The sequence below is a fragment of the Homo sapiens genome, chromosome 18 (assembly GCF_000001405.40).
Source record: "Homo sapiens chromosome 18, GRCh38.p14 Primary Assembly".
NCBI lineage: Eukaryota > Metazoa > Chordata > Mammalia > Primates > Hominidae > Homo > Homo sapiens.
In genome coordinates this window covers 48,897,714-48,918,005 of record NC_000018.10, presented here as the reverse complement: position 1 = coordinate 48,918,005, position 20,292 = coordinate 48,897,714, and the positions used below count along the sequence as shown (strand labels likewise).

At 46.9% G+C, this 20,292-nt stretch overlaps 1 long non-coding RNA gene across 1 annotated transcript; it reads left to right on the top strand.

The window, feature by feature from the left end:
• On the top strand, positions 3,347-19,515 carry LOC124904355 (uncharacterized). The gene is made up of 3 exons (XR_007066464.1): positions 3,347-4,448; positions 6,355-6,502; positions 19,325-19,515. It is a non-coding gene; the product is annotated as an uncharacterized LOC124904355 (long non-coding RNA).
• Positions 19,516-20,292: the final 777 nt, after the last annotated feature.

The window sequence follows — 20,292 nt, the reverse complement described above, 5'->3', positions numbered from 1 at the left end:
TCTGACTCCGGGCTGAGTGGTTCTTCCTGCTTGGTCCACGCCCTGTTGAGATGTTTATTTGGTAGGATCCTGTGTGGCTCCAGTCCCACAACTCCCTGAAATGGAGAGAAGGTGGGAGGGTGGTCCGCCACGTTTCCTCCTGACCACTTGCGCAAGGCCTCTGGATTTGGGAGGCAGAAGCTGTGGCTTCTGGAGGAAGGAGAGGCTGGAACAGGGGTGGAGGTGTGTGGGTTCTGGCAGCATGGCTGATTCCGGGTGGTGGGGAAAGAGGAGTGCTTAGGAGGAGTCTGGCATTTGCTGGTTTCTGACACTTCCCTCTTTTTGCCGGCAAGCCCGTCACCCACAGTCATCTCCTGAGCACCTTCAATGTGCCGCAGCGGGCACGGAGGTAACGTGGACCTGGACGGTGCCTGTGAGTGATGCTGGGGGACAAGACGCCACACCTGAGATGATCAGCAACAGAGCAGGCAGAAGAAAAGGCGAGGACCCAGGAGGAGGCCTGGTCTTGGGGCCACAGGTGCTTGCAGAGGAGGTGGGACTTTCAGCTCAGATGGCATTGAGATTAGCAGAGTAGGGGGAGAAGGTACCCCATTGGAAGGAAGTTTTCCTGCCTCTTGGTACTCCTTCCTTTCAGTTTGCCCCTTAAATTTCAGGGTATCTTATATAATTCGATCTCAGGCTCTGCTCAGGCTACACCCTCTCCCTGGATGACAGCATCACTCTGGTGGTTCTGTCTCCCTCAGACCTGTAGATGCCTCAGCTGTCCCAACCAGAAACCTGGATTCCCCATCCTTGCCCCTGTCCCCCATAATGAAAAAAAACAAATTCCCTCCATCCTGTTTCACCCGATCAATAATTATAAAATGCAAATATCTCTCTCAGAGTTCTGTTTTCTCTACCCCCACTAGCATGACTTATTTCAGGGCCTGTAAGTTTTCCCTGGGTCTCCCTTACCTCTGGTGAAAGTAGCCCTTCAGCATCCACCTCTGCCAACCTCTCCCCTGAGTCCCCAGCCCTCCACGCACAGAAACCTTTTGTTCCAGGCATGCAGGGGGATGCACTGTGCTGCAGGCCCGCCGTGCTCATGCGCTTCTGCAGCAAGTGCTTTGCAGCCACTTCAATTAGCTATCTCCTCCTTATCCTTTGGGATGTGATGCAGGCAACACTTCCTCCAAGAAGCCTCCTCCCTTTAAAAAATTTCTGTCTGGGCGGGCGCGGTGGCTCACGTCTGTAATCCCAGCACTTTGGGTGGCTGAGGCGGGCGGATCACCTGAGGTCAGGAGTTCGAGACCATCCTGGCCAACACGGTGAAACCCCCGTGTCTACTAAAAATACAAAATTAGCCTGGCATGGTGGTCGGCGTCTGTAATCCCAGCTACTTGGGAGGCTGAGGCAGGAGAATCACTTGAACCCGGGAGGCGGAGGTTGTGGTGAGCCAAGATTACGCAATTGCACTCCAGCCTGGGCGACAAGAGTGAAACTTTGTCTCAAAAAAAAAAAAAAATTTGTCCTGAAGAATGTTCAATAGTGTAAGATTCTCTCTTCTGCTGAACTATAAGCTCTTGGCACCCTGGGGTCTCAACTGGAGTCTCAGTTAGGATTCACTGCCCTGACAATTCCTGGTGTGGTACTCAGACAGGACTTGTCTCATGAACGAGGCATATTTGTGGGCTTAGCTTGGGCTGGGAATAATTGTCATCATCTTCATCATCAAGAGGCAACACTGAGTATGTCCTGACTCTGTGCTAGGCAGTGTTCTAAGCACTTTACACTGGGATTGTCCCATATGATCCTCACAGCCACTCTGCGAGTGGATACCATGATCATCACTCCCATTCTACAGATAAATAGGTTCAAAGAATTGCCCACAGTCTCCCAGCTGTTAAGCGATAGCATCAGATTTCATCACTTCTGTGTTATCTAATCTCTCTGGGCAGGCCTGGCTCAAGGAGTTGGGTATATGTTTTTTCTAAAACAAGTTCTGGTTTGGAAGGACCAAGCTGATCTGACTGCTGAGCAACAGAAACAACACCTGCCATTTGTACTTGTCAGTGCATACCAAGGGTCATGCTGCCTGTGCCCCCACGCCGCAGAGGACGTGGGCAGGCCTTCCCTGATTCAGGAAGGGCCTGACCCTCCAATGGGTGAGTGATTTGCCCGGGACCACCTATGCACAGCCTGTGATGGAAGCTGGATTTGCACCCAAACCTATAGCAAGCGATGACTTCTCGCTGGGTCTATTAAGCTCCCAACACTCAGCAGCCTGCAAAGGACCTGTTTGTCAGCTCAGCCGGTGTGCCCTCAATGAGCAACTCCTGATTGTCCCTGAGGGTGTGCTGGGGGCAGGCAAGGTGGGGGCCTGATGTGAAATAGGATGTGGCTCACAGTCACCGGTTTGGGGGTCAGACAGATCTGGGTTTGAGCACTCACTTGGGCAAGTCACAACCTCTCTGAACCTCAATTTCCAAAGCACAAAGTGTGTATTATACTTTCATGAGGCTAAAATCGGGACTGGGGAGAAAATTCATGTGAAGAGCTGACCATATGCTAATTAGGTTGAACCACGTGGGATTGCTAATATCTGATCATGTTGACCCACAATAATGGCAATTTCAGATACTTTATGAGATACTTAATCCAAGGCAGCCAGCCGTAATCAGGGGTCCCCACCCTTCTTTTCATCCCGCAGCTGCAGTCAGAGGCTGGTGGTGCCCTCTGGGTGGTGGATTTTGCAGCAAGTGAGAGAAGACAGTTGGAAAGCCAGTCCATGGATAGTAGGGGGGTGGCCAATATTGAGGCGATTCCTTCCTGCTCAAAATGTCATCCAACTGCTGAGTCCAGGCCAGGGCAGGAAGCAAAGACCACCAGCAGCCAGGGCTGCAGGGTTGGGGTGTCCTGGCCTCAGGAGGAGGGGTGCGTGGGCCCAGGCTGCCACCCTTGGAGCCAGGAGCAGCCCGCACAGTCCCTGGTTTCCTGGCGGCTCTCAAGCAGGAGGCCCGAGCTGCTAGCTCAGCAGTTTTCCCTCAGCCAGAAGAACCCCGCTCTCTTTCTGAAAGTAATGATTTTCTAAAAATGGATTCCCTCCCCTCCCCCAGCTGCAATTAATCTACCCAACACAAAGTGGCCGCTGGAGGAGGACTCTGGTGAGTTGGGACTAGTGCAAGTGCTTTGATTAATTCAGGGACAATTTCCTGGCTGGGCTGGGGGTGAGAGGCTGGGCAGGGACGCGCTGCCTGGGTCGGGGGTGGCCCACTGCAGGGTCCATTTAAACAGCTATGAGAGCCACGGAGACCTGGGAGAGCTGGGAGCCTCTTCCTAGGGAGCCTGTGCCCGCCTTCCTGGGGATTTGAGAGGCAGAGTCTGCCATGGACATGTGCCCAGGTGCCAGGGGAAGCTCTTGCTAAGCCTGGAGCTGCCTGGAGCTGCCATTTTAGTGGAAGCTTAGGGGGAGAAGGAATACAATTGTTTCTACCATAAGCCCTTATATCTTACGTAGTAGAATGCAAACTTGACCTGAATTGTTGAGAAAAAACAAGACACTTCAAGGACACGTGGTTGCCCTTGATGTTGCTTTAGGTGGTGGCCCCAGGCCCTGGCAGTTTCTCTTCTGCAGTGGGCATTTTAGTGGAAAAGTGTAAGATCAGTGGGACACAGAAGCGCTGGGGACAGAAATAGAGTGTGTATATTAGGACTGCTTTGAACCTTAAAGAAAATAGAGATGTGTCATAGACAACTGTATTGAATCCATTCTCCGCAGTGTAGACTGCCCTTTGATACACGTTCCTCTAATGATTCTGGATGGGAGCTCTGACTACCCCCATTTTAGAAGAAACTGAGGCTAAAAGAGATGAGCGACTTACACAAGTCACCCAGCCAAGAGGTGGCCGAGCAGTTTTCCTTAAGCCTAACCCAGGGCTCTTTTGTCCAAAGCCTGGTGCTCACCACTCTGTCCCATGCCCATTTCAAACTCCAGGTCTTGCACTCTGCCTGCCCAGATCCCAGCAGTAATGAGTGACCTGGGGTCGAGACATTTCATTCCCAGGGAATACTTATGCATTTCCCTCATTTCCCAGCCTCCCTTGCAGTTTGTTTGGGACCATGTGACCAGTTCTGGCCAATGGGCTGTGAGAAGTGCCATGTGTCACTTCCAAGCTAAAGCATTGAAAAATTGGTGCAGGGTGACCCAGCTCTCTCTCTCTCTCTCTCTCTCTCTCTGCCACAGGGACCTGGAAGATATGTTTTAGGATGATGGAGACAGAAGATGGAAAAGCGTTCGGATCCTGAATGGCTGCTCTGGAGAGCCCCTGGGCCCGCTGCAGACTTTGTTTGAATGTGGAACTTTTTCTTTGTGGCTGAGATTTGGAGGTTTGCCTATCCAGATGATTATGTGACCTGTGCCCCACACTCAGTCCCTTGCAGAATCTGGCTTGCTTCTTTCTTTTATGGAGGTGGGTCTTGTATCTCCAGCGTCTGGGAGCTCCTTGAGGTCAGGCACGAGCCCAGCCCTCATGCTTACTTGAATCCTTTCACAGTCACAGTACAAAGCCCAGCACTGGGCTCGTAGTAGGTGATGAGTAAATACCTGCTGTAATTGGCATGAAGTGCCTCTCCAGTGGTGCCCCATGAGGGACTGCCACCAGGTGTCCTCCAAGGGCACAGTCTCCCACCTGGTCCAGGGCTCCTCTCTGATGAAACCCTGCCCTTGCCTGCTCCTCAGCTACGTAGTCTTTGAAACGGCTCTTCACCTTCTCCTCAACCTCATCTGGTTGAGGCCAGGGGCCACTTTAACCTGGCCAAAGCCAGTACCCTCTGGGCAAGGAGAGAGAGGCTCAGAGCAGAGCTCCGGCTCCAGTGAACACATTGATTAGAGTCATCAGACCACGTTCCCAGCTCCTCTTGCCTATCCTGCTTGATTTTTCTTCATATTGGTGGTTGACATTATACTTACTGTATTATATACACATTTGCCTTTTTTTTTTTTTTTGAGACAGAGTTTTGCTCTTGTTGCCCAGGCTGGAGTGCAATGGCATGATCTCAGCTTACTGCAACCTCCGCCTCCCAGGTTCAAGTGATTCTCCTGTCTCAGCCTCCGGAGTAGCCGGGACTACAGGCGCACACCACCATGCCTGGCTAATTTTGTATTTTTAGTAGAGATGGGGTTTCACCAGGTTGGCCAGGCTGGTCTCGATCTCTTGACCTCATGATCCGCCTGCCTTGGCCTCCCAAAGTGCTGGGATTACAGGTGTGAGCCACCGTGCCTGGCCTATGTTTGACATTTTATTATATATCTGTTTGTTGGCTTGACTATTATCAGAGGCCCCTAGTAGAGTGTGAGCTCTGTGACAGCAGGGACTTTGCTCTGGTCACTGCCATAACCCCAGAATCTAGAACAATGCCCAGCACATAGAAGGGATAGAAGGCACTCAACCGATATTGGATGGATCAATGTTGAATGACTATTTAACTTTTCAACTAAAATATATGAATTTAAGTTCCAGGTGAATTCCTTTTTTTTATCTTTTTTCTTTTTTTTTAGAGACAGGGTCTCTGTTGCTCAGGCTGTAGTGCAGTGGCATGATCATAGCCTTGAACTCCTGGGCTCAAATGATCTTCCTGCCCTCAGCCTCCCAAATAGCTGGAACTAAAGGTGAGCACCACCCTGCCTGGCTAATTTTTTAATTTTTTTGTTGAGACGGAGACTCGCTACATTGCCCAGGCTGGTTTCCAACTGCTGGTCTCTAGTGATCCTCCTGCCTTGCTGGGATTATAGGAATGAGCCACTGTGCTCAGCCAAATTCCCTTTTCCCCAAGAAAAGTGGGTATGGGACCAGGTGCAGTGGCTCACGCCTGTAATCCTAGCACTTTGGGAAGCCGAGGTGGGCGGCTTGCCTGAGCTCAGGAGTTTGAAACCAGCCTAGGCAACATGGTGAAACCCAGCCTCTATTAAAAATTAGCTGGTGTGCACCTGTAGTCCCAAATACTCGGGAAGCTGAGGCAGGAGAATTGCTTGAACCTGGGAGGCAGAGGCTTCAGTGAGCGAGATTGCACCACTGCACTCCAGCTTAGGGGACAGAGCGAGACTCCATCTCCAAAAAAAAAAAAGAAAAGAAAAGTGGGTATGTACTTACTTTATAACACTAGTGAAAATAAAAAGCACATTATTATATTCTTTTCTCCCAAAAGGTGAATGCAAAACTTTACCTCTTAGGGTGGTGGTAATAGCGACAACTACACCCACAATAATAATAACAAAAACCTGCGTTTACTTAGGGCTAAGTATGTGCCAGGCACTCTCTGCAAGGTACTTTTTTTTTTTGTTTTTTTTTTTGAGACAGTTTCACTCTTGTCACCCAGGCTGAAGTACAGTGGCATGATGGCATGATCTCTGCTCACTGCAACCTCCGCCTCCCAGACTCAAGCAATTCTCGTGCCTCAGCCTCCCGAGTAGCTGGGATTACAGGCGTGAGCCACCGCGCCTGGCCTACGTTGTGTTGTCTTTAAGGTAAGCGCTCTCATTAGCTCATTTTACAGGTGAAGACTTGCAGGCCCAGCGAGAGACTCACAGCAAAAGCGTGGTAGAACCGAAGCCCAGGTCTGCCTAACTCCACAGCCCTTGCTCTGAGCCCTGGGTCTCCAGGGGAGCCTAGAGACACCAGCAGCCTTGAAAGAGTAGTTTTCCCAGCTTCTGTTCCTTAAGGTCGAGACAGAAACACGCTAAGGCCTGATCCCACTGAGGCAGCTCGAGACTCTGGGGGTCTCTCTGCAGGAAGGGCTTGCTCCTTGGCCAAGCTGTCCTGTCCCAACCGGGGCTGTAATGTTCACTGTGTATGGGCGTCGTGTCATCAGCACCAAATCTTCTAATGACACACTGCAGCCAGGGAAATTACAGTGCCCGGGAGACTTGTCCCAGAGGCCCTGCCCGAGGTAATTCCAGAGCAGGAGCGCATGCTGGGAAATAACAAGAATGACAGAGTCTGGCTGCCAGCCTTAGATAATGGAATGGTGAGTGATTTTATTTTACTTATACAGATCTTTTTCTTGAATTTTAAAAATATTGAAAAATGGTATCAAAAGTAAAAATTAGCGCTAACCTCATCATTTAAATTATGCCCTCCAACTTCACTCCCCAGAGGTGAGCATGCTGGAGACTCAGATATGTCCCCTTTCTGAATTGGCTTCTGCCTCTACATATGCACATATACAATTCTCACCAATGGAGTCACATTCTACATATCAGCCTGCGCCCTGCTTATGTCACTTAATGATACATCACAGACATTTTTGGAGATTATTCATTTTCATGGTTGTCTAGTAGTGGAGCAGAATTTAAAAGATGCTAGTGTTCATTTAAAGATATGCTACTTAGTACTGAATGGGAGTGAGGACGTGGTGCAACAGGAACTCTTGTGTGATGATGCTGGGGGTATAAACTGGTTAACTTTTTGGCAGTATCTACCAAAGCTAAAGAGAATCATACCTGCATCAGAAATGCACACATATATTCACTAAAATATATGTGTCTTTTAGTGAATATATTCTTGAACATGTACAAGAATACTCACAGCAGGCCGGGTACAGTGGCTCACACCTGTAATCGCAGCACTTTGGGGGGCCTAGGCAGGCAGATCACTTGAGTTCGGGAGTTTGAGACCAGCCTGGCCAATATGGTGAAACCCCACCTCTACTAAAGAAAATGCAAACATTAGTCTGGCATGTTGGCACATGCCTGCAATCCCAGCTATTTGGGAGACTGAGGCAGGAGAATCGCTTGAACCTGGGAGGCGAAAGTTGCAGTGAGGTGAGATGACACCACTGCACTCCAGCCTGGGTGACACAGTGAGACTCTGTCTCAAAATAAAAAAATAAAGTATATTAATAGCAGCACTATTGATAATAGCTCTAAACTGAAACAACTCAAATATCTGTCAAAAGTCGATGGTTATTTACACAGTGCACATCATGCAACAATGGGCATGAAAGAACTCCAACTCTACACGGCAGCAGGATGATCTGCACAGTTATAACGCTGGGCCAAAGAAGGCACACACAGAAAAGTCTACACTGTATGATTCCCTTTATATAAAGTTCAAAATCAGGCGAAACCAATTTGTGGTGTTAGATGTCAGGAAGTGGGCACGAGAAGAACTTCTAGGGGCTGATGATGTCCTGTTTCTTGATCTTAGGGCTGGTTACACGGGGTGTACAGTTTGTGAAAATTGTGCACTTTTCTACATGTGTTATACATCAGTTAAAGTCTATATATATATATATATATATATATTTTTTTTTTTTTTTTTTGAGACAGAGTCTTGCTCTGTCGCCCAGGCTGGAGTGCGGTGGCATGATCTCGGCTCACTGCAAGCTCCGCCTCCCGGGTTCACGCCATTTTCCTGCCTCAGCCTCCCGAGTAGCTGGGACTACAGGCACCCGCCACCATACCCGGCTAATTTTTTGTATTTTTAGTAGAGACGGGGTTTCACTGTGTTAGCCAGGATGGTCTCGATCTCCTGACCTTGTGATCTGCCCGCCTCAGCCTCCCAAAGTGCTGGGATTACAGGCTTGAGCCACCGCGCCTGGCCAAAGTCTATATTTTTAAAGAAGTGTCAATGGCAGGCATCCCCTCCAAAAATTCAGTCTTGTTTACCCTAAGTTTGTCCCCTTCTTCCTTTTCTTCCAGCACCTAATGAGCTGCATGTAGGACAGTGCCTTATGTATGATGTGACCCAGGGAGGGAATGGGAGTTGCACGTTGTGGTTTTTAATCCCTGGGACCAGGTGGTCAGCCTCAGGTGATGACTGAGCCTGTGCTGTCCCCACGTATTTGCTCTCAGGTAGTCAGTGAGCAATGGGGTAGAGAGAATGTCAGCGGGAGGGGGTGGGAGGAGGAGGAAAAAAAGGAGGAAGAAGAGGAGGAAGAAGAGGAGGAAGAGGAAGAGGAGAAAGAGGGAAAGGTTGCTGTTCTCAGGACTGCTGAGGGGACTGTCTTGCACATGGGCACTTGCATGAGTGGTGGAATTTCTGGGGTCCTAGCTACTATTACAGCAATGACAATAACAACAACTACTACTATTATTAATAGCATCCAACTTTTCTTGAATTCTTACCTATTGCCAAACACGGAGCTGAGTGCTTTATATGCATCACTCATGTGGATCCTTTTAACACTGTGTAGTTTTTATCAGTACCCATTTGCATGTTGGAGGCTCACATACATACAGTAAGCCCCTGACCACCACACCACACAAGCCCCTGCTTGTTTTGATTATTCAGTTGTTTATCTGGAGACCTATTATGTGCATGATGCTGTCGAGGATTGAGGTATAAAAATGGATGTGTGCCAAGCATGGTGGCTCACACCTGTAATCCCACCACTTCGGCAGGCTGAGGTAGACGGATCACCTGAGGTCAGGAGTTCGAGACCAGCCTGGTCAACATGGTGAAACCCCATCTCTACTAAAAATACAAAAAAATTTAGCTGGGCATGGTGGTGTGTGCCTGTAGTCCCAGCTCCTCAGGAGGCTGAGGCAAGAGGATCACTTGAACCCAGGAGGCGGAGGTTGCAGTAAGCCAAGATCACACCACTGCACAGCCTGGGCAACAGAGTGGGACTTCATCTCAAAAAAAAAAAAAAAAAAAAAAGTATGTGATACAGTCTCTATAGTGTCTGAGCAGGTTAATAATTGGGTGCTTATCCAAACCAATTGTCAGTGCTTTATTTCTTATTTTGGGAGTGCTCAAAATAGGTGATTCATTTCTTTTGCTATTTACTTTTATCTCCTTAGCAAGATATGTTCCCTCTTTAAATATTAGAGACTAAATTAACAAATACAAAGGGAGGGCTGGGCTCAGTGGCTCACGCCTGTAATCCCAGCACTTTGGGAGGCCGAGGCGGGTGGATCACCTGAGGTCGGGAGTTCGAGACCAGCCTGACCAACATGGAGAAACCCCATTTCTACTAAAAAATACAAAATTAGCAGGGCATGGTGGTGCATGCCTGTAATCCCAGCTACTCGGGAGGCTGAGGCAGGAGAATCGCTTGAAACCAGGAGGCAGAGGTTGTGGTGAGCCGAGATAGCGCCATTGCATTCCAGCCTGGGCAACAAGAGCAAAACTCTGTCTCAAAAAACAAAACAAAACAAAACAAAAACCACCAAATACAAAGGGAGAAGAATTTTGTGAAAATCACCTCTTGTGTTTTTTACAGAGAACTTCTTGACATCTGAACACAACTCATTTCAGACTTTAAAAAAATACATTTTTATGTGCTCACTATATAATAGGTGCTCACAGAAAATTTGCTGAATGAATGCTTAAATTGTTACAAAATGACACTATTGTATGATTTTTTAAACTGCTCATTCCCTGACACAAACACACTTAATGCTGTAATGAGAACATATTTCCAGGTTCATGAACACGCAGCTACTTCTGATGCTTTCGTTCATCATTAGTAGGGATGATTTTTTTTTTCCATGTGTTTGGGAGACATTTCTGTTTCTTTTGTGGATTTCTTGTTTATGTCCTCTGCCTATTTTTTTCTCTGGGTTTGTTACTCTTTGTGGTCATTTGTCTTAAAAATTTTTTTCAAAGTAATTCATACACAAAATTTTAAAAGTCGAGTAGTATTGAAAGTCTTATAATAAAAAATTGCAGTCCACTGTTGTTTCTCTCCCACCCTAGGTTTATTCCCCAGAAGTAACCCTTTCAACTTTTCAAGCTGTTTCTTTCAGTATTTATCACTATAACTTTTTAGGGATATATAAAATATTCATTAAAAATGTAAAAATAGTATATATTCATCATCAAATATTCAAAAGACACAATAATGCATTAAATAAAATGTTAAAGCCCTTCTTAATTTCTCCAATGCTACTTTTCAGGGGTAAATTTCATTAGAATGGATTACAATAGTCCCTCCTTATCTGCAGTTTTGTTTTCCACTGTTTCAGTTACCTGTGATATATATATATATCATTTTTTATATATATGTGATATATATCATATATGATAGATATATGTGTGAGATATATATATATATGTATTTTTTTTTTTCGAGACAGCATCTTGCTCTGTCACCCAGGTTGGAGCGCAGTGGTGTGATCTTGGCTCACTGCTGCCTCGACCTCCTGGGCTCAATGCATCTTCCCACCTTAGCCTCTTGAGTAGCTAGAACTACAGGTGTGTGCCACCACACCCAACTAATTTTTGTATCTTTTGTAGAGATGTTTTTGTTTTTGTTTTTTGTTTTTTGTTTTTTGAGACAGAGTCTTGTTCTGTCTTCCAAGCTGGAGTGCAGTGGCGCAATCTTGGCTCACTGCAACCTCTGCCTCCTAGGTTGAAATGATTCTCCCACCTCAGCCTCCCAAGTAGCTGGGATTACAGGCATGTGCCACCATTTCCTGCTAATTTTTTTGTATTTTTAGTAGGGATTGGATTTCACCATGTTGAACTCCTGACCTCAAGTGATCCACCCACCCTGGCCTCCCACAGTGCTGGGATTACAGGCGTGAGCCACTGCGCCCAGCCTAGAGATGAGGTTTTGCCACGTTGCCCAGGCTGGTCGCAAACTCCTGGGCTCAAGCCATCTGCCCACCTTGGCCTCCCAAAGTGCTGGGATTACATGCGTGAGCCAGTGTGCCCAGCCATGGTCTGAAAATATTAAGTGGAAAATTCCAGAAAGAAGCAATTTATATATAAGTTTTAAATTGTGTGCCATTCTGAGTAGCGGATAAAAATCTCGTGTTGTTCTGCTCTGTCTTATCCGGGACGTGAATCATCTCTTTGTCCAGTGTGTCCATGCTGTAGGCACTTCCCACCCATTGGTCACTTAGTAGTGTCTGTTAGCAGAGCAACTGTCATCGTATTGCAGAGCTTGTGTTCAAGTAACCCTTATTTTACTTAATGATGGCCTCGAAGCCCAAGAGTAGTGATGCTGACACGTTGTCTTAGGTATTCTATTTTATTATTGTTGTTAATCTTTTACTACATCTAATTTATAAATTCAACTTCGTCATAGGTATATATGCACAGGAAAAAATATGTAGGGTTCTGTACTATCTGTAGTTTCAGGCTTCCTGGGCGTCTTGGAACATATCCCTCAAGGGTAGTGGGGTACTACTGTATATCACCATATTCCAAAATAATATTCTTATTCTTATGTTTCTTGATACATCAATTTTAGATATCATCTAATAACCTCCTAGCTGGGGATTAGCTCTCTTGCAGCATCACATTGCTTCCCTTTCCAGTGGCCAACACTTACATTATTATGACTATGCCCGTATTGTACACCCTGAGTCATATAGTATACTATGATTGCATCTATTATTTTTACACAATGTGTTGGTATTTCTGAAGTTGAGTTGTCTAGGTTCTTTTCATTTGCTTCAAGTCCATTGTATTTTTTGCCATTGGTTTCCACACTCTTCAATTACTTCTCAATATAGTTTTTCTCAATGTTAAACCTACCAGATAGTTTGTCAGTTCAATTTTTTCCCCTTCTGGAGTCTCCAGCCCTCTGCCCTAGTCTGGACAGGTTGCCTCATAGGCCTGATGCACAGCAGTCACCCTGAAGCATCCCTCCACCTTCTATTGGGTGGGATCCCTCGTTACCGGCATCCCATGACTTTACCTTTCTTGGTTTAGTCCCTCATTTTGGTGCCAATTGTCTTTAAGTAGCCTGCCTGCCTGCCTGCCTGCATTCCTTCCTTCCTTCCTTCGTTCCTTCCTTCCTTCCTTCCTTCCTTCCTTCCTTCCTTCCTTCCTTCCTTCCTTCGTTCCTTCCCTTCCTCCCTTCCTTCCTTCCTTCCTTCCCTTCCTCCCTCTCTCCTTCCCTCCTTCCTTGCTGCCTTCTTTCCTTCCCTCCTTCCTTCCTTCTTTCCATCTCCCTTTCTCCTCCTTCTCTTTCTTCTTCTTCTAAGCATAACCAAGGGCTTCACAGCAAGAGACAAGGGAAGAAGGACCCACTGGCAGCTTCAGCCTCTGGTCTGTTGTCTCAGCAATTCCACTCTGGCCCTGGACTTGCACTTAGCAAAACTAAAGCCCTGCAAATGACTACACCCACCCTGTTCACAAGGTGAGGGTTTTTTAGGGGCCACCAGGTGTTACCAGAGCTTGCCTGTTAGGGATTCACTCCCTGCCCATTCATGCCTCAAACTATATGGAGAACCCCCTGCAGGGGAATACTCTATCCTGTTGCTTTCTTGATTACTTTTGGTTCCACTGTGTAAAGGGACCCTGAGGACTGAATCCAGCACCTCAAAAGCCACCTGCCTAAAAAGGCAGTCGCATTCTTTCCATTCCCCTCTGCTCTTCCCCATGTGTTTTTCCTCTCTCCCTGGACTGGAAATTTTTGGATGTCAAGTTGTTTTTGTTTTGCTGGCACTGCCTCAGCTTAGGCACTCCTGGCTTCTGGCTTGAACAATTCAGGGGCCTCCTGGGCACTGTCTCGATTCGCATGCTGCCCCCTGCTAATCCATACTTCTAGTTAGGGCAGAGAGTATGTTGTAACATCCAACATTGAGTTATTTTGTTTGTAAAAAACCACATCTCCACATCTCCACACAGGCCCCTTGGCCTGAAATGCATTTCCCTGCTCTCTAGCTGATGAAACCCATCTCTTCTTTCAATGTCCAGCTCAAACATCTACTCCTTCAAGAAGGCTTCCAGTCTCTTCTGTCGGAATGAATCACATCCTGCAGCACTTTATATGACATTTTCTTCTAATCCCTGTCCTTGTCTGCCATGGGAAAGCAGAGAGAGGAGTCAAGTAACCCAGGACAGATCCTGTGGCCAACTAGCAGAGCCACAGGCCACCTCAGCTGGCCCATCTGCGTACTTGTCAGGGAGGAGAGCTTGACTTTGTTCAATACCTATTAAGTGCCATGTCCTAGGCTAAGAATTTCACTGACATAGTGCAATTACATGCTGAACCCCAAAGCTCTTTCAGCAACAAACTTCTCTGCATATGTCCACTTTGAGAGTCTGGGCAGATAATGAGATAGACAAAGAATTGGAGGTGGGGGAATGAAACAGAGAGGACATTTGTTTTTGTAGATTAGCCTACTGTCATCTGGCTCTCTATCTGGTTTAGGGGAATTCTTACTTGAGTCTTTTTTTGTTTTGTTTTTGTTTGTTTTTTATTTTTATTTTTTAAATCTGAGACTGCGTCTCACTCTGTCACCCAGGCTGGAGTGCGGTGGTGCAATCTCGGGCTCACTGCAACCTCTGCCTCCTGGCTTCAAGCCATTCTCCTGCCTCTGCCTCCTGAGTAACTGGGATTTCAGGCATGCGCCACCATGCCCAGCTAATTTTTGTAGTTTTAGTAGAGACAGGGTTTCACCATGTTGATCTGGCTGGTCTCGAACTCTGGACCTCAGGTGGTCCACTGCCTCGGCTTCCCACAGTGCTGGGATTACAGGCATGAGCCACTATGCCCGGCCCTTACTTGAGTCTTATTGAGAGGATAATGAGCAAGATACTTGCTTTCCCAGCTTCCCTAGTGACCAAGTACAGTCATGTGACCTGGGATTGGCCAATCAGATGCCCTCATCCTGGTCCTGGGATCAGGGTCTGGGAATAGAGAAGCAGGGATGTAGGAGAATCATTCCGGAGGTGGACAGTGGTCACATCCTGTTTCTAGGGGGCAGCAGGGACGGCTAGGCCAACAGCAGCGTCCAGCGTTTGGTGTCTAGTGCTGATGTCAGTGGAAAGAGAGGAGCCTTCTGGGGCTCTGTGGCAGGGCCAGTGCGGGTCTCAGGAGGCCAGCACTGTGGTGTGGTTTGGCAGCCACCCCTGCTGTGGAGAAGTTCTCTGGCATGTTGTTGATTCTGTGACCTACCCAGGATCCCCTCATGACTTTTCTTTTGTGCTTAACTCAGCCAGAATAATGTTCTGTATTTTGCAACTAGGAAGACTGACCATGGATAGAGGCCTGGAGAGGCATAGGGACATGGTTGGCTGCAAAATCTCCCAGAGGGCTGGGAATCTCTGTGCCTCCAAAAGGTGTTGATGACCATGGTGTCTTCTCCACCCAGGTGGTCACTTAGGTCCTAAGCAGAAAGATACCACTCACCAAGGGCAGAGTCGCAAAGTTACAGAAGCCCCGGAAATGCTCCAGGAGGATGCAACTGAAAAATAGAACCATCCTAGGCAGTGGCCCTTCATCATGACAGCCACGCAAGCTGAAGGAGAAGGCCACTGTTCAGAGCAGCAGGGCCTAGAGTCCCATGGGCAGGAGGCATGGGCTCTTACCTTGCTGCAATTAACTCGCTGGGCAGCGTGGGCAAGTCCATCCTTTTCTCTGGGCTGCAGCGTCCTCATCAGGAGCCCTGGAATGTGGGCAGATAAATAGGGAGGCCTTGTCCGGCGCCACAGCTTCCAGGACCAGCACTGAGAGCTTCTGAGCTGCCCATGCCCCATGCCCTGAACTCGCGTGCTCTCCCTGACAGCAAGTCCTTGCCTTTCAGAGACTGGGTGCTCAGAAAGTGTGGGTTAATGGACCAGGGACTGGCTGGCTCTGTTAGGTGTGTGGGGTAGATGGCTGGGGTCCTGACAAGCTCCTTCTCCTTGGGTCCTGGGCCATGCCTAATGATCTTTTTCTGGGAGCTCAAGATCTGCCTTTCCTCGGTCTCTACAGAGGAAGAAGGGGAGAAAAGGGGATGGAGAAAGGGGAAGGAGGGCGGCTGGCCTGGCAGTGGCCCCAACGCAGCCTCGGCAGGCACTTTCTGGGAAGCCGCCCCCGGAACCTAGCCCCATGAAGGCCTAGAAGGCCCCGTCTCGTCTCCAGCCCGTTTCCCTTGAACCGGAGCCAGGCGGTCCTCACGCATTACTCACTGGCGGGGCGGCCCTGGCCCGGGGCCAAGGCAAACAGGCCTCCAGCCTGCCTGGGGGCTGGTCGGGCCGGGCTGAGGAGGGGAGGGAGGCACCCGCACAGCCTCCTGCCTGCCTGCGTCCTCCTGCCAGCTCAGCCCAGCCCCAGCCTGGTTGAGGGTCGGGCTTGGTCCCAGCCTCCCCCAGGGTTGGCCTGGCAGTTCCTCTGAAGCTGGCATGGCTGAGATCTTCCTCCTGCCTGTGCCCCTAGCAAGGGCTTCACCCGGGTCCTCCTTCTCCATCAAGGGAGAGATTGTGACTCCTGCCTTGTAGCCAATGCAGTGGCTTCACCCCCTGCCTGTCACTAACCAGCCCCTAGGACAGCAGAGGAGGAGGAAGCCCGGCCCTTCCCAGGCTCCAGGTCTGCATCTCAGGAGCATCTATTCAGGATGACCGATGTGATGATATGGGTTGTCCATCAATATTGTGAATTAGGAGTGCAGAAGAGAAGCAGACCACATGAGCTAGGAAGGCTTCCTGGAGGAGTGGGGCCTGGCAAGGCCTTGAAGGATGATTTAGACAGCCTTGGTGGAGGAAGACAGGAGGGTCTGTACAGTGGGTGTGTTTCTCAGGATGTGATGGGTCTGAAGATGGGGACCTGGGTAGAGGCTGAGGTAGGAAGGGGAAGATAGCTAGGTGAGGAGGATGACACCAGGTACTGTGCCTGGGCAAGCCCAATCAGCCTTTTCCCAGAAGCTCCCTTTCCACTTATGCACCTACCCATTCAACCCACCCATCTGTTCATCTGTCCATCCACATACACATCCACCTATCCATCCATCTACCCATCCCCACATCATCCATCCATCCATCCATCCATCCATCCATCCATCCATCTATCCACTCATCCATCCATCCATTCATCCATCCATCCACTCATCCAATTATCTACCTATCCACACAGCCATCTGCCCATCCATTCATCCATTTACCTATCCATACACTCATCTACCCTTCCATCCTAGCTACAAATATCTGTTGAGCATCCACTTATGAGCCAAGCCCTGTACTAGAATATTCTCACCGACCTTTGTGCATGCAGGCCTGGCTCACAGTAGGCTCAATAAATATTTGTTTAAATATATGGAGAAGTGATGATCAGAGGTGACCTGTCACTATCGTCAGTGAACTTATCATCTTGCAGAACAAAACATGTAAAATTATCAATTGTGATAAGTGCTATGAAGGGAAAGACCAGGGTGCTAAGAGAAGCAAGGAGGAGGTAAAAACTAAGGGCTCTTAGGCTGCTGTGTGATCCTGGACAAGTAACTTGACCTTGTTCTTCCTCACTTTCTGCATCTATATAATGGGAATAATGATAGTACCTTATAGGGACGTCCATTAAGTTTTTTGCAATTATCAAAATCAGAAAGCTTTAATATTAACACAACTTTCTAGTCCACCATGCACATTTAGTTTCAGTTGTCCCAATAATGTCTTTTTCTTACTAGCTTTATTGAGATATAGTTCACATACCATACAATTTGCTCACTTAAAGTATACAATTCAAGGGTTTTTTAGTACAATCATAGGTATGGGCAACCATTACCACTCACCACTGTCAACTTTAGAATATTTTCACCACTCCAAAAAGAAATCCTGCATGCTTTAGCTACCACCCACTTTCTTCTCTCCACCCTCTCCCCTGCACCAGCCCTAGAAAGCCACTAATATGCTTCTCATCTCTATAGATTGCCCTGTTCTGGATATTTTATATACATGAAATCCTACAATATGTGGTATTTTGTTACTGGCTGAAAATAATGTTCTCAAGGTTCACTTGTGTTATAGAATGTATAAATACTTCATTCCTTTTTTTTTTTGACTTTAAAAAAAGTTTTAAGATTTTTAGAACAATTTTAGGTTTGTAGCAAAATTGAGTGGAAAGTACAAAGGGTTTGCATATACCACTTCCTCTCCCTCTCAGCCTTTCCAGCCACCAACAATCCCATATCAATGTGGTACACTTATTACAATCAATGAACCAACACAGACCCATAATTATCAATCCAAGTTCATAGTTTACATTAGGGTTCACTCATTTTGGTTGAGTAAATATTCCATTGCATATGGATGTACAACATTGTGTTTACCTATTCATCAGTTGATAGGCATTTGGGTTGTCTCCATCTTTTGTCTATTATGAATAATGCTGATATAAACGTTTGTGTACAAGTTTCTATATGACCATGTGTTTTCATTTCTCTTGGGCATATAACTAGGAGTGGAATTGCTGGGTCATAGGGTAACTCTATGTTTAATCTTTTGAAGAACTGCCGGACTATTTTCCAATGTGGCTGCACCATTTTACATCCCCACCAGCAGTGTATAAAAGTTCTGATTTCTCCACATCCTTGTCAACACTTGCTATTATCTGACTTTTTGAGTTTAGCCATCCGAGTGGATGTAAAGTGGTTATCTCATTCATTGTAGCTTTGATTTGCATTTTACTGATGACTAATGGTGTTAAGTTTCTCTTCACGTGCATGTGCCTATTGGCCATTTGTATATCTTCCTTGTGGAAATGTCTATTCATAGCCTTTGCCCATTTAAAAATTGATCTATTTGTCTTTTAATTATTGAGTTGTAAGTGGTCTTTTTTTTTTTTGAGATTTGCTCTGTCACCAGGTTGGAGGGCAGTGGTGCGATCTCGGCTCATTGCAACCTCCGCCCATTGCAACCTCCGCCCCGCCAGGTTCAAGCGATTCTCCTGCCTCAGCCTCCCGAGTAGCTGGGACTACAGGTGCGTGCCACCACGCCCAGCTAATTTTTGTATTTTTAGTAGAGACAGGGTTTCACCATGTTGGCCAGGCTGGTCTCGATCTCTTGGCCTTGTGATCCACCCGCCTAGGCTTCCCAAAGTGCTGGGATTACAGGAGTGAGCCACCGCACCTGGCCTAAGAGTTCTTATGTATTATGAATACAATTGCAATTTTTTTCTCCCACTCTGTGGGTTATCTTTTCATTTTTTTTGTGTCATTTGAAGCACAAAAGTTTTAAATTTTCATGAAACCTGATGTTCTATTTTTTTCTTGTGTTGCTTATGTTTTTGGCATTATATCTAAGAATCCTTTGTCAAATCCAAGGTCATGAAGGTTTATTCCTATATTTCTTCTAACAGGTTTATAGTTTTTAACTCTTACATTTAAGTATTTGATTGAAGTTAATTTTTATATATAGTACGTGATGGGGATCCAACTTTGTTCTTTTGTATGCAGAAATCCAGTCGTCCCAACACCATCTGTTGAAAAGACTATTCTTTCCCCATTGGATGGTCTTGACACCCTTGTTAAAAATCAGTAGATGCATGGATTTATGTCTGAACTCTCAATTCTATTCCATTGATCTGTATGTCTCTCCTTGTGCTGTTACCACATTGCCTTTACTACTGTTGCTTTCTGGCAAGTTTTGAAATTGGGAAGTGTGAGTCCTCCTACTTTGTTCTTCTTTTTCAGGATTGTTTTGCTTATTTTGGGTCCCTTGCAATTTCATCCAAATTTTAGAATCAGCTCGTCATTTTCTACAAAGAAGTCAGCTGGGATTCTGACAGGGATTGCATTGAATCGGCAGGTGAACTTGGAGAGTACTGACATCTCGGTGATGTAAAGTCTTCCTATCTATGAATAAAGGACTGTTTTTCCAGTTATTTAGACCTTCTTTAATTACTTTCAAGGCTTTTTATTTTTCAGAGTATCAGTTTTACCCTTTTTTGTTGTATTTATTTCTAAGTTATTCATTCTTTTTGATGCTGTTGTAATGGAATTGTTCTCTAATCCCATTTAATTCTCCACAAATGCTTATTGTGCTCAGCACCGTTAGAGGTGCCAGGGATATCGCAATGAGTATGTTGTGAGGATGAATGAGATAATCTCTGCAAAGGGTGATAATGTATTTTGTATTATTGTTCTTCCTGTCTTTCCCCTTTTCATCTTTTTTTTTTTTTTTTTTTTTTTTTTTTTCTGAGATAGAGTCTTGCTCTGTCACCCAGGCTGGACTACAGTGGTGCGATCTCAGCTCACTGCAACCTCTGCCTCCCAGGTTCAAGCAATTCTCTTGCCTCAGCCTCCCGAATAGCTGAGATTACAGGCGCCTGCCACCGTGCCCTGCTAATTTTTGTATTTTTAGTAGAGATGGTGTTTCACAATGTTGGCCAGGCTGGTCTCAAACTCCTGATCTCATGATCTGCCTGCCTCGGCCTCCCAAAGTGCTGGGATTACAGGTGTGAGCCACCGCGCCTGGCCTCCCCTTTTCTTTAAGCAGGTCCTAAGAAAGCATCCTGCAGAGGCAGGAGGGAGCTCTTTTCCTTCAGGAAGAGAAGACTTGCCAGTTGGCGATGGTTCCTGAAGCAGCGGGAGGAGCTGACTGTTTACCAGGGAAGCATACTTGCCTGCTTTGTGTGACTGTGAGGACAAGACTGCAGGAA